At 37.2% G+C, this 13,652-nt stretch overlaps 1 protein-coding gene across 8 annotated transcripts in view; it reads right to left on the reverse strand.

Annotated features, from left to right (window-relative positions):
* Positions 1-1,699: 1,699 nt before the first annotated feature.
* Positions 1,700-13,652, reverse strand: part of NAP1L1 (nucleosome assembly protein 1 like 1) — a 48,101-nt gene continuing 36,148 nt past the window's right edge. For 3 of the 8 annotated variants that reach the window (NM_001330232.2, NM_139207.5, XM_011538393.3), the window contains 2 exons: positions 13,508-13,579; positions 9,860-12,833 (listed from right to left, as the gene is read on the reverse strand). In NM_001330232.2, coding sequence (NP_001317161.1) covers positions 13,544-13,579 — 36 coding nt within the window. In that variant the 3' untranslated portion in view covers positions 9,860-12,833; positions 13,508-13,543. Of the gene's footprint in view, positions 13,580-13,652 lie in introns of all 8 variants that reach the window. The other 5 variants (XM_017019340.3, NM_001330231.2, NM_004537.7 and 2 more) reach the window with 3 other exon arrangements.

The raw sequence follows: 13,652 nt of genomic DNA on the forward strand, positions 1-13,652 counted from the left end.
AGTTTATAGGTTAGAATTAACTATAGTGAAAAACAGCCTTCAGTTTTTATCAATTCCAGGCCAGTGAGTGCTACTATAAGTTGAAAATTCTCCATTTACACTTCTCTACAGTACGGCTTGTGTAGTCTAAGAAATCAAACATGTGAATGAGCTCCCAAACTATTTTCCTCACTCTAACCTACTCTACCTGCAGCCCCCTTTCTCAGTTGACAGCAATCCTCTGTACAGATGCTCAAACTAAAAACCGTAGATCAGTACTGCCCTTACACCAGGCCAGGAAAGGCCCTTATCCAAGGCCCTGAGCTTTAGGATTGAGTGCTTTAGAGTCAAGATGACATGTCAATCTAGAGAGCATACTCATTCTGCACTACACTCTAGGTACTCAAGACCCCAAATACCCTGCCCAGAATAGCCCCAGCTGTTCCAGGAAATGCATTACATCATCATTGCATGCACTGATGTGTTAGGGGGATAGGGCAGTTCGAATATACTGGTTATGGCATCCAAGTAAATGTGCAGGAGGCCCCTTGCCATACAGTTCAGAGCCGGGGTGGGAAGAAAAGGAAGGTGGCTCATGGGCTGAGGGTCAGCTCTGCCCGCAAGTTATATTCTGGCATAAATACAAACCTGGCTTCCCAGTTCTAATGAAAGTTTGTCAAGACAGGCACATTGGGCATATTTTCATTAAACAGTACTTTTAAATATTTAAACATACGGTATCTCCATTGTACTCTTGCCCCAGGCCTTCAAGTGTGTAGAATCATGCCTGCCTTGTAGTAATTTTTTTCTCTCCCAATATTTAATCTACACATTTAGTCAGGAAATCCTACTGGTTAGGCCTTCAACTACATCTGGATTCTGTCCACTTCCTTCATTACCACCCTGATCCAAATCACCATCATATCCCCCCACTGGATTACTATGATGGCCTCCTAACTTGTCTCCCTGATTCTATCCTTGTTATCTATTTTCAGCATAGCACCCAAAGTTATCTCCATCACTTTCTTCAAGTCTTGGCTCAACAGGCCTATCCTGATCACTCTCAAATGGTAGCCACTCAATTCCCCTTAATTTTTCCCATAGCATATATTATCTTCTAACATGCTACTCAATAATTTATTGTACCTATTGCTTATTTCTGTTCCCCTTCCCACTAGAATAGTATGCAAGCTATTCAAGAGGGCAAGGACCATTGTTTCTGATGTGTCCCAATCACCTAGAAAAAGTCTTGATACCAAGTAGATGCTCAACATAGGTAGAAATCTTGAATTGAATTAGAAGTCCATACCCATCATAAAAAGAATATCAATTTTTTCAAATGCTTTTGACAGATTTTTCATGATGCATCCTACTTTTTAAAACTTGAGATGTAAGGACTTGAAATTTGCCCTACAAACATATCTCTGGTATACTTTTTAAATGGATAACTACATGCTAGGCCTCTCTGAATCTTAAATGCTTTTATAGTCAGACATCTAAAATAAATCCCACAAACCTTTTCCCAAGCAACATGCAATTTAATATCATGAGAGGTGTTTATATAAACTAGTATCCTACTGTTTTCTAGTAAGAGTATTTAGAAGCATGAGAAACACAGTAATGGAACTGAGTTGGTAAGTTTCTTACTTGGCAGTTACATAGTCAAACACTTGACTAAAAGTCCATTAATCAATACTGGCTTAAAGACATGTAACAGAACTTGGAAAGTTATTAAGTGTTTAATTCATAATGATTACAAAATTCTGATCTGTAAACCAATTTGCAATATACAGTAGAAACTCATGACAATGATCATTATTAAAGATTTGGATAGACCAAAGGTCAAACATCTTTCAAGAAAAAGTTAAAGCCCAGTAAATTATGAACATGTCACGTTACCCTCATCAGGGTATAAAAGATAACCAAGGCTGGGCGCGGTGGCTCACGCCTGTAATCCCAACACTTTGGGAGGCTGAGGCAGGCGGATTGCCTGAGGTCAGGAGCTCGACACAAGTCTGGCCAACATGGTGAAACCCCGTCTCTACTAAAAATACAAAAAAAAAAAAAACCCACAGCGCCTGTAATCCCAGCTACTCGGGAGGCTGAGGCAGGAGAATTGCTTGAGCCAGGGAGGTGAAGGTTACAGTGAGCCAAGATCACGCCACTGCACTCCAGCCTGGGCAACAGAGCGAGAATCTGTCTCAAAATAAATAATTAAATAAATAAACAAATAGTCTCACAGAGTGCAGTTTAGACTTCTTAGCCTTATTTCATCTTTGAAGTACTATTCAGAAGAAATATTCTAGATTCTAGTTTCCAAAAGTCCTTGAGTTGAAAACGTTAAGTATTAACACAGAACTATCCAGACTTCTTAGGTGGGTGTCCAGAGCTGCCTTCCTTTTCGCCTTAGTAGTTGATGAACTGATGCCTCCTAGTGACCAATCTGTGTAACAGCTTAAAGCAAGTGCTTTATAATGAGTGCTTAGCGCTTTTTTTTAACTGTAGTACAAACACAATTGTGGATCCAAGCACCGTCCATCAGCTGTCTCCGTCCTTTCTGTTCTGCCAGCAGCCTAATTCAGTTCTCTCATCTAAGTTCTTGGGTGGCCCAATCACCTGATCCATACTCATACACATGGCCTTCAGTTTTACTCTTAAAACATGACAGAAAACTTCTATTCGCCTCCAATTGTATACATTCCAATTCCTTACCCTTGCATGACAAGCCCTCCACAGAATGGGTCCTACTTATTTTGACTCGTTCCACTCAACCTTGAGCGAGTGCCAGTCATACATCTCCTTGTCCTCGCAGCCTCCAATTTACCTTCCCAAATCCTCTGTAAACCTTTCATTCTTCAAAGCCCTATTCAAATCCCAGATTTCCTCTGGCTGAGTTAATTCCTTCCTAATCACTTCAAACTCTGATGAGTAGTTATCCAATTTTCACGTCTACTTCACTAAATATCCAAGATCCTGGATGAGTGTTTTCGCCATTGTACCTAACGGAGAGCTGATTGACAGCACTTAAACTGAGGGGAAATGACTAATGTTTTGTCTGGAAATGTATTGATATTATTCAAAATGGGCAAGCAGGCTATCTTATTGAGTATTAACAAGTAACCAGGAAGTCTGATTATTTGTAAACTTGTTATGGTAATATTAGCTTTGAAGTGACAAACGAAAATATGGAACTGGATGAAATGGAGCAGAGAGGAAGGTAATCCAATGAAGGAGGCTGAGAGAACCAGTATTATGTTGTCACAAAACTGCAATCACTCAAAAGTGTTGATATTCTGGCTCTGGGTCTCTGGGGTGACAAGATACCCCAGTAACTAAGAGTGGAAGCAATCCTCTGTCCCCACTGAAGAGCCCAAGAACACCTACCACCTTTCCTAAGTATGCTTCTACTCTGAAACCCGGTAAATGCAACCCGTTGTTTGCAACTCAAATATGTAACTGACAGTCACTTGGGCAAATACCTCCATTTAAGGAACTAAATTCCAAGGATATTTCCCTCTTTTGCTGTCATTTTTCCATTGCCACAAAACACACAGCCTGAGGACATAGGCTGTTCAATTTGATCACTATTGATCTCTGTAAGAAAAAAAAATCCAGTAATGGGCAAATACCTTTCTTAGGTGATAGAGGACATATAGCAGTGAGTGTAGACAATTCCTCCCAAAAACATGAGAATAAAGAAGGTGGTAGTGGTGTTACTTTAGAAGAACAACTCAGGCTTCAGAGAGGGTAAGTTTCATTACAGACAAGGTAATCTAAGAGTAAAAGGGATAAAAGAATTCTGTGGGGTAGCCAGACTCAGAAAGGTGGAATAACACTTTTACAAGAAGATAAAACCCAGGAAATGTTTATGGCAAGCTTGTATGTTGCCACTAAACCTACCAGAAAAAGAAATCCCATTAGAACCGCCCCCATCACAATAACTACCTAAGTAAATCATTGTTGAGTAACAATGAGCACCCCTTAAACATGTCAGAAACCAGAAAGTTTTTGTTTCTAATGAGATTTCATTTACACTTTTAAGTCATTGTCTCAACCTAATTTGTGCATGCATGGTTCTGAGAAAGGTTATCATGCAAAATGAAATAAAAAGCCTTGGGCAAAGCAGGACTCCAATCATAATTAATCCTTTTGGGCCGTATTTAAAGAAAATTACTTTTCTTAGCCCTGTTCACTTATTTCTAAAATGTAGTTATTTGCTTTATGTTCCAGGATATCCTTGATCAAATAATCCTTTTCTAAATCAACTTATTTCGACATATGTGGCCAATGTGGCTGTCATCCTAACCTCCCTTGGCATTCACACCCAGCTCTATTTTATTTACTATCCTACTTTTAGCACTGTGAGCATAAACCATAGGTTCTTCTTTTTACAGGAGAGGTTGGATGCCAGTAGCCTTTAGCCTCCTTCAGCCCATCCTGTACCTTGAACCTGGACATGATGTATAGAGCCCCAGCAACCACTTGATAATAAACCAACTTGCCAAAGACAAAAAGTAGAATGAAAGTCTGCCTGAGAACCATGAAGCTCCCATATCAGTCCCAGAGTCTGTCTAAGCCTAAGAGAAAAACCTATATAAGCCACATTGTATTGGGGCTGTGTTATACAACATTATAATAAATACAAACTCTTCAGGGCAGGGGAGAGAAAAAGGAAAGATTATCTGAATATTGTTTAAAATGAAATCTAGATTAACTCTGGTCTCTAAAATATTTCATCTCTGAAAGCTCTAGCCTAAAGAACATGCTTATTTAACCACTAGTTGTGTGACAGAAATATCTACAAGGCAGTGCAAAGTGTAGGGCCATCCAAATGCTGGCTCCAACACAACTCAACTGTGTCATTGTTAAAGTTACTTAACTTCCATCCTTATGCATAAAAAGGGAATTAATATTCTCAATCAAGTATGATTAAGGCATTATTTTTATTATCTTAATGTTAAACGAACACTTAGTTCTCCCCAAATTGCTGATTAATACTGTAAACTGAAATCCCACTAGTTTAAAACTATACATGGAATAGCAATGAAGTTTTTCTCGAAACCTCTCAGTCTAGTTACATTATACCCAACTTTTGAAAACACGTGTACTTAAGGGTCACCTTATACATACCACTTGAGGTTCCTTTACTAATCAAGCTTGACATTTTTGTCTGAGGGAGTTCACTACGTTATAGCTTGAATTATAGCTGGAAATCAATTGTCCAGCTATAATTCAAGTAAAAGATTCCAAAATGATGGGGAAAAGCATATGTTTTTCTCCCTGAACAGGCATACAATATGTAATTTAAGCTTTGATGTCTTTGGTCATTTTGGAAAACGACTGCAACAAACTAAGCCCAGTCAGAAAAATTTTGCTTGTTTTAAGCCATTAAGTTTTGGAGGTTGTTTTGTTATGCAGTACTAGGTAACTGCAACTATTGATATGCCTTCCCTTGACTTTAAAAAACAACTAAGTTGACTCTTGAATATCAAATTTGAACTAAGAGGGTCCACTTACAGGTTTACTTCTGTCTCTACTACCCCTGTGACAGCAAGACCCCCCTCCTCCTCAGCTATTCATGAAGGCAGTGAGGATTGAGACTGTTATAATCCAGTTCCACCTGAGAGTAAATATACATACACATACATATACATACACACACACACACACACAGACAGTTTCATTCTGTTGCTCAGGTTGGAGTGCAGTGGCACTATCTCGGCTCACTGCAACCTCCACCTCCCGAGTTCAGTCAATTCTTGTGGGCTCACTGCAACCTCCACCTCCAGAGTTCAATCAATTCTTGTGCCTCAGCCTCCTGAGTAGCTTGGACTACAGGCACACACCACTACCACCTACAGCTAAGTTTTGTATTTTTAGTAGAGGCAGGGTTTCTCCATATTAGCCAGGCTGGTCTCGAACTTGTAACCTCAAGTCACTGGCCCGCCTCAGCCTCCCAAAGTGTTGGGATTACAGGCATGAGCCACCACACCTGGCCATAATATATTTCCGATTGCTTAACATTTTCTCTAGCTTACTTTTTACAGTATATAATACACATAACATACAAAGTGTGTGTTAAATGACTTATTGGTAAAGTTTCCACAGTAGGCTGTCAAGTTTTGGGGGAATCAGCTTATACATAGATTTGACTGAAGGAAGCTGGGGCCCCTAGCCCCTGCATTATGAAAGAGCTAACTGTATACACAATCCAGCTTTGTTTCATTGGTTTTCTCAATCTACAGGAATATGACAACTACAAAAGACCTTAGAGACTGAACTACTGAGAATCAATCATTCGACTTGCTACACAGTCCCACACAGGATTATGGTTGGTACATTGAATGGGTCTAGATAAATCCTAACTGACCTATACATCCAAAACTTTTCTGTACACTTACCAAGTTCCAAGCACAGTGCTGGAAATTAGGAAACTCATTAATAAGCAAGTGTTTCTAGAGTATTTTGAACTGGTTCAAAACCAGTTCAGATTTATAGAACCAAAGAGTAGGTACTGATGAAAAGGAGATCCTATGTTGAACTAGTAAAACACATGCACAAAAGCCCAGTGGCAGAAGTAAAAGAAAAGGCAGCCAAGCAGAGCTGAAATAGTGCAAATGCAGGTTAAATACAGTGGGCTATTCATCTCCAAGTTGCCGTGAAGTGGCTAAGTCCACTCACCAAGCCAAATGAATAGCAAAGACAACAGTTCCAGCCTCCAGTTTTGAAATCCATAGTTAAGTGCGGCAGCTCCCACTTGTAAGCATAGCACCTCAGGAGGTTGAGGTGAGACAACCACTTGAGCCCAGGAGTTAGACACTAGTCCAGGCAACATAGTGAGAATCATCTCAAAGATAATAAAAATAAAACTTTGTTGACTGGCCTAATCCAAGTCTAAAATCACATCTGATCTCAAGACAGACACCCATGTCACATCCACACCAGTGTCAAGGCTCCAGGTAAATGTTGGGAGATAGAAGGGATAACCTGAATAATGACAATTTGGGTATTCTGAAGCATGAGAAATCCAAATATATAGCGATACCTCATTTCGTTTTACCCTAGATCATTTCTGGGTTCTGCCAAAGGCCAAAGAAAGTAAACAGCATATGAAAACACATGTATTAAAATAAAACAAGAAAGGAATGAGATGAGATTTTCAAACCTAGCTCACTTTAGGTTAAGGTCAATTTTTTTTTTGTTTTTTACACATAAAATCTTCAAAACGAGGCATATGTTTAATTTTATTATCCAGTCTTAGTCTCAGTGTTCTTATGTACACTGAGTAATGCATCCCTTACACCTAGGAGGAATTTTGCCTTTGAACCAAGAAAACCCCAACTAGTTCAGAAATAAAGTTCTAAAACCAATTTAAAAAGTAATCCCAATCACAAATTTTAGGTTTTCTTATGTTTAGGAAGTGCTCATAGGCTCTAAGTACTTTTGTTTCCTTATTAATGTTCACCACGATCTTTCGCAATACAGATGAAAAGACTGATGCTGAACCAACAGGTGGTAGACAGACTCTAAAGCCTGTGTTTAAAGACACTACCCAAAGACACTACTTGTATTCTCACACATATCCATTAAAATTTGGTAGCAGAGACATTTGTTTAGGGGCTGAAAAGTTTTAGTCTAAAATTAGATCTCCATTTTTATTCATGGATTCTTATTCCTATAGAGCAACCTCATCTACTTTCCTAGTTGGATCAACTGATTCCACTTATTTGAAAATAATTACAAATACGGACGGCAGTAGCAGTAGGAAAAATAACATTGTTTGATTCAACTTCAAAGTATCCACTGTGCGTTCAGTTTTTATGATACATGTACAAATTTTCTTTCACCTGAAAGGCCCTAGAAATACCCTGTAAAGAGCATATTCAGCAACTGGACTTAAGTTTCTAAGTAATACTCCCTATTCTAAGAAGCCAGCAATCCTTGGAGAAATGGCCCATTCCAGGGCTGAAATAGAAAACGCCTGTAAGACTAGAAAACTTTTTGAGCCAAAAAGTATGTTGATCAGAGTAAAGAATATACCGGAATTCTTTCAACTATTTTCAGAGTTGAAGGAAAGCTGTAATATTGATAAGTTACCCCAAAACACCAATCTGGAGTTTGACTAAGGGGATTCACTGCAGATAAAACTTTATTCAGCAATTTTTTTAAATAAAGCTTTTGTTCTTGGCTAAGTAAATTATCTTAACAGCTAACAGCGTCTTGTTCACTGCTGCTGCCACGTCATTTAACTTACTTTTTCAGTTGCATATATATGACCCTGAAGCCTTTACTGGCCCCTGGGGCCCACCTACCTCAAATGTTCTGACCTTCAAATGGCTGACTTGGTCTATCAATCATGTCTTCCTTTAAAAATTATCTTTCAGCCAGGTGCAGTGGCTAACGTCTGTAATCCCAGCACTTTGGGAGACCAAGATGGGTGGATTACCTGAGTCCAGGAGTTCGAAACCAGCCTGGCCAACATGGTGAAACACCTCTCAACAAATGTAAAAATTAGCTGGGCGTGGTGGCACGTGCCTGTGATACCAGCTACTCGAGAGGCTGATTGCAGCAGTACACTCCAACCTGGGCAAATGAAGTAAGACCCTGTCTCAGAAAAAAAAAAAAAAAAAAAAATTTCTACATGGAATGGTCATCCTCATCCTCACTTGAAATACTCTTGTAACAGGTGGTTCCAGTGTTTTAAACCCATTAAGAGGACTTCCACAGCTAAACTTTCTATGGACTGGCCACTTGTATTTCTACCTGTATTTCCAGGTATCTCAATTCCTTGAATGTAGCCTCAATTGTTCTGTTCTGGGACCTTTGCCTGTATTTCCTCCTGTTCCTCCACCTGAACTGCTCACCGTTCAGAGGTTCTTCCTCTCACTTCACAAATTCCTACAGATTCTCAAAATCTCAGCTAAAAGCTCATACAAATTTTGAGCCTTCTGGTAGCAACTATTTTACAACCTCATGAAATTTACCAGAGCCGCAATTGCCTAATACATTATGAATGATAAAATTATGAATAAGACCTTCAACTCTGGATATGAGATCTGTCGACTTCTGGCACTCACGTTTAATCACACATTCCTAGTTCCTTCTTTTTGGCTTTAAGTTTAAAACATGTAAGAAACTGGCTGGGCGTGGTGGCTCATGCTTGTAATCCCAGCACTTTTGAGAGGCCAGCACTTTGAGAGGCTGAGGTGGGAGGATCACTGGAGGTCAGGAGGTCGAGACCAGCCTGGCCAACATGGTGAAAACCCATCTCTACTAAAAGTACAAAAATCAGCTGGGCTCAGTGGCACACGCCTGTAATCCCGACTACTTGGAATGCTGAGGCACGAGAATCGCTTGAACCCGGGAGATGACAGCTGTAGTGAGCCGAGATCATGCCACTGCACTCCAGCCTGGGCAACAGAGCAAGACTCTATCTCAAAAATAAAAATAAATGGATAAAACATGTAAGAAACTAAAAAGCAATGCTTTTATGTAATATTTTATCCTGGGTTTCAAAATAATAAAACTCAGTTTGTTCTAGGATCCACAAAACTTAAAATGCCCAATTTCCCATAGGAAAATTAAACAACCAGACTGACTTATTTCCCGCCAGTAATCTATTATTTCTAAATACCCCATTTCTTCTTTTATTCAGACTCTTGGCTTGAGGATGACATGGTCGGGCCTCAATAAGCCCACTGTAAGTCAAAAATATCATAAGTAGAAGATGTGTTTAATACTCCAATAAACTCATAAAGCTGAAGTCTTAAGTCAAACCATTATAAGTCAGGGACTGTCTGTACTAAGATTTTAGTGAATAACTTAATTTTTGTAAACTGGAAAACCTGACAATATGATGTCAAAAGGAAGAAACACAAGATACAAAGCATACTGTATTTTTGAAAATATACATCAATCAAAATTTCTTATGAATACTTATCCTTGAGTAAAATAATTTCATATACCAACAAGGATGTTTCCATTTCTGTAAAGTCATGTAAGTGATCCTCAATCAGTCCAAGAACTTGGCTTTTTATCCAGGTTATATTTTAATATCTGGAGTTTTAATCCAGCATACAAAAATCACCAGTATACATCTATTAAGTTAACTGCAGTATTATTTCACCATCACCATTTACATGTACTTTTCAGGTATCAGAGACTTAGTGCTTTAAGTAGCAAATTACCTAAATTATGAACACATATTTCCAAAAACAAAATCAAGCTCATAATTACCAAGTATATATGTACAGTGCAGATTAAAAAAAAACTGAATTAGCACATATTTCTCTTTTCTAAAGCTCCTATGAAGAACTTACACTCTTCTGCACTACCAATCTATTCTGTACATTTAAAATAACATTTGTTTTGATTTAAAGTCAAAAATATAAAGGCTTAAATTTTTGTAAGACTAACCCATAAAAAAGGACTCCAATTTTAAACCAATCCCTGAAACCAAAGCATTCAAATATTTGAATATTAGTTCAATATTTCTACATAGCACGATAAGATTTTCAGTTACTTCAAGTTTTGTCTTTATTTTTAATAATGGGAATGGCCTACAATTACAATAAACAATTAATTCAGTTATTTTAGGGGCCTTACCATATCATTAACCTATTCACACAACAAAAATATTTTTATGAAAGTTAATATATCCTTTCCTGATTAAGTGTGCTAAAACAGAAATAGAGGTAGAATCCCATTTTTCTTAAGTACCACTCTACAAGCCAGTTCCACACAATTAAGGTATTTTTGCAATCTAAAATAGTGATGCTAATACTGCTTCAGTAAGCTAGATTTACTAATTTAAGAATCCTAAGAAATTATATATGTGGCTTTCAGACATCCATGTTAAACTATCAACTTGTGGAATTTGTGGAACACTTACCCTACTTGAGTGACCATAAAGCAAACAACTCTAAAATTTTTTCATATCAGTTTTCTTTATAAGTGATTATATGATATTTCACCATTTCTAACAGGAAAAAATGAGACTTACTTGGCAGTGTGCATGGGCTGCTGGAAACTACAATCAGAGTGTAAAGACAAATCTCAAAAATGTTTGTAGATAACTCAGAATAATAACCCAGAATATAACCTATCAGGAACTATGGAATTCCATTTTAGTCTTCAAATAATAAACTCCACTTAGCAGGGATTGTGAGGTTGCTCTTAAAATTATATATTTACAGAACATAGTGGCCTCAGCACAAAATAGCTCCCTCTAGACATCACTACTCTCCACTCTTCAAAAAAAAAGTATATACATTCATTTAAAAAAAAACACCCAAAATATCACCAGTACATTTTATAAAATTAAATCCAAATTTTATTAAGGATTTCAGGTTACATACTTCAAATTTCTAGAATGGAATGGAATCATTTTGGAACTGGAAAAATGGCATAAACACTGACGTCCCTTAAAACTTCAATTTTATAAAGAAAATTCTTCTGCAAACCACATCCCCTTTATGTAACAAGACTAGGTATTATCTACACCTTCACTTTGGCAATAGCTATTTCCTAAAGAATGAAAAAGATGATTTTGCTACTTCAGTTCATTAAAAATGGGATTCTATCTTTGAAGTTCAGAAAAAGCTGCATTTCGATGAACTATGGTTAAAAAAAAAAAGCACATAGTGTCTAATCAAAGCAAAGGAAATCATTTTGAAAATAAAGAAAAAAAGCTATTATAATTGGTTAAGGATTTCCAGTAGTAAGTTAAAATCTCAGGAGAGGAATGGATAGCACTACAAACAATGTGTTCACATTCCAAGACCTTAACACTAACTTCTCAGAAAGGAAGTTTTCATTACCTCTAAAAATCAATTCAATGTAATTTTATTAAGAGCAGGAAATCTAGACCTTCCTCTAATGACAATCCAATAATCCACCCTCACTGTCAAAAAAAAGTTCAACCCCAAAATTAACAGTAATTAGCCTGAGGTATTGTAAATGTGGCTCTACAGTCTGAAATTTAATGGCATCTTTTGTCAAAAATAGTCTTATTTCCACTTTAAGTCTCATGACTACAATACTATAGTGCTATCCCTGTAGTATTTACAATACAGTCATCAAAAATATCTGAAAACAAATCTTGGACCTTGTGAAATAGTGCATCCCTCCACTTCTATAAAAATAGGAGCCACACAAAGATCTAAAAAGAGTGCTGACTGCCCAGATCCAGAACAGAGGTACTTAACACCTTTGTTTTCCAGTTTAGTTATCAAAGCGTGGTGTGAACAAAATGCTTAGTGTCACACTGGCATTACAAATAGGCCCAAAATTTTGAGCTTTTAACAAGATTGAGAAACATTATATGAGATTTAACTCAATATGCCTTAACACATCCATGAGGTAGTTAGGTAAACAGTACTACCCATTTTAATTACACAGTAAACAGAAGCACGGGTAAGTGACATACTCATACTTTAAGCAATAAGAATTAGAAGAAACCATAGAAGCTTGGGGCCTTCTCTCTAGCTCTAACCCAAAGAAAATGAATTTTTTTTTTTTTTTTTAAAAGAAAACAGCATCAATCACTTAAGATTTTCTTCCTCTTTTTTTTTTTTTTTTACACTTGCTTATTAGTATAGCATCTCGTTCCAAAGCTGGTACCTTTTCTTCAACAATGTGTTAAAAACTGAGTATAACCCTTAATTCAAGGTAGGCCTCTACTTCTACCTGAATTGGTACAAAATTAAGACATTATCTTGTAAGAACTAAAATTGTATTTGAAATTTTTATTTTAGCTGCAAAAACAAAAACAAGCAAACAAACAACAAATAACTTGAAAATAGGCTTGTCAAATGATGTAAATTCATCCTTTCCAGGGAAGCAGAAGGTAGACCCTACCACAAAGAAAAGATGCTTAGTTAATGGAGGTTAAATTTAAAAATACAGTTAAATTCAGGCTAACTTCTGAAAATCCCGTTTTATTCACCTCACTGTGGTACCAGTAACTATACTGAGTCAGGTTACTTTACAGTTAACTATGTCACCTAAAACACAATAATCCATTAACACTCTAATAACAGTTATTGGGTGTGGTCATACTGGAAATTCTTAACCATATAGTTGTCTTGCCAATTTTTTTTTTAAACAATAAATTGTCTTAGTATAAGTCACTGCATTTCTGTAACAAAGTAATGAAAGGCACAGCTAATCCAAGCGGACTTAACCCTATTCAACAACCAGCTGAAAAAATACTTTGGTTCTTCAAGGAAAAAATTACAAAAAAAAAAAAAAGGTATTTCCTTTAACAGTTGTTAATTTTCATAGCTGTACTCCAAGAGCTACATAAAAATATTCCAGAAGAACCAAATTATGTAGCAATGAATGAACATGCGTGACAGAATTTGTGCATTCAACATAGCTGGCAGAAAAACTAGTTAAAATGCTAGGTAGAACAAATTGGTCTTTAAAATATCAGTTTCCTGTCCTTTAAAAAAAAATTACCTAGTCTACCAAGAAAATACAAAAACATAAGGCTGTAAGTAAATAAGAGTTGTGTTTAGGCTATTACAGTGCAGGTTATCCTCAAGGCCACATACATCCTGCTTCACTGCTGCTTGCACTCTGCTGGGTTTTGATCCTTCTGTTAAAGGAAAACAACAAGTCAATCTATCTTCTTCTACCTGCTTCAGTGAATTTCTCAATAGTAATTACTG

This window comes from Homo sapiens, chromosome 12 (genome assembly GCF_000001405.40).
Source record: "Homo sapiens chromosome 12, GRCh38.p14 Primary Assembly".
NCBI lineage: Eukaryota > Metazoa > Chordata > Mammalia > Primates > Hominidae > Homo > Homo sapiens.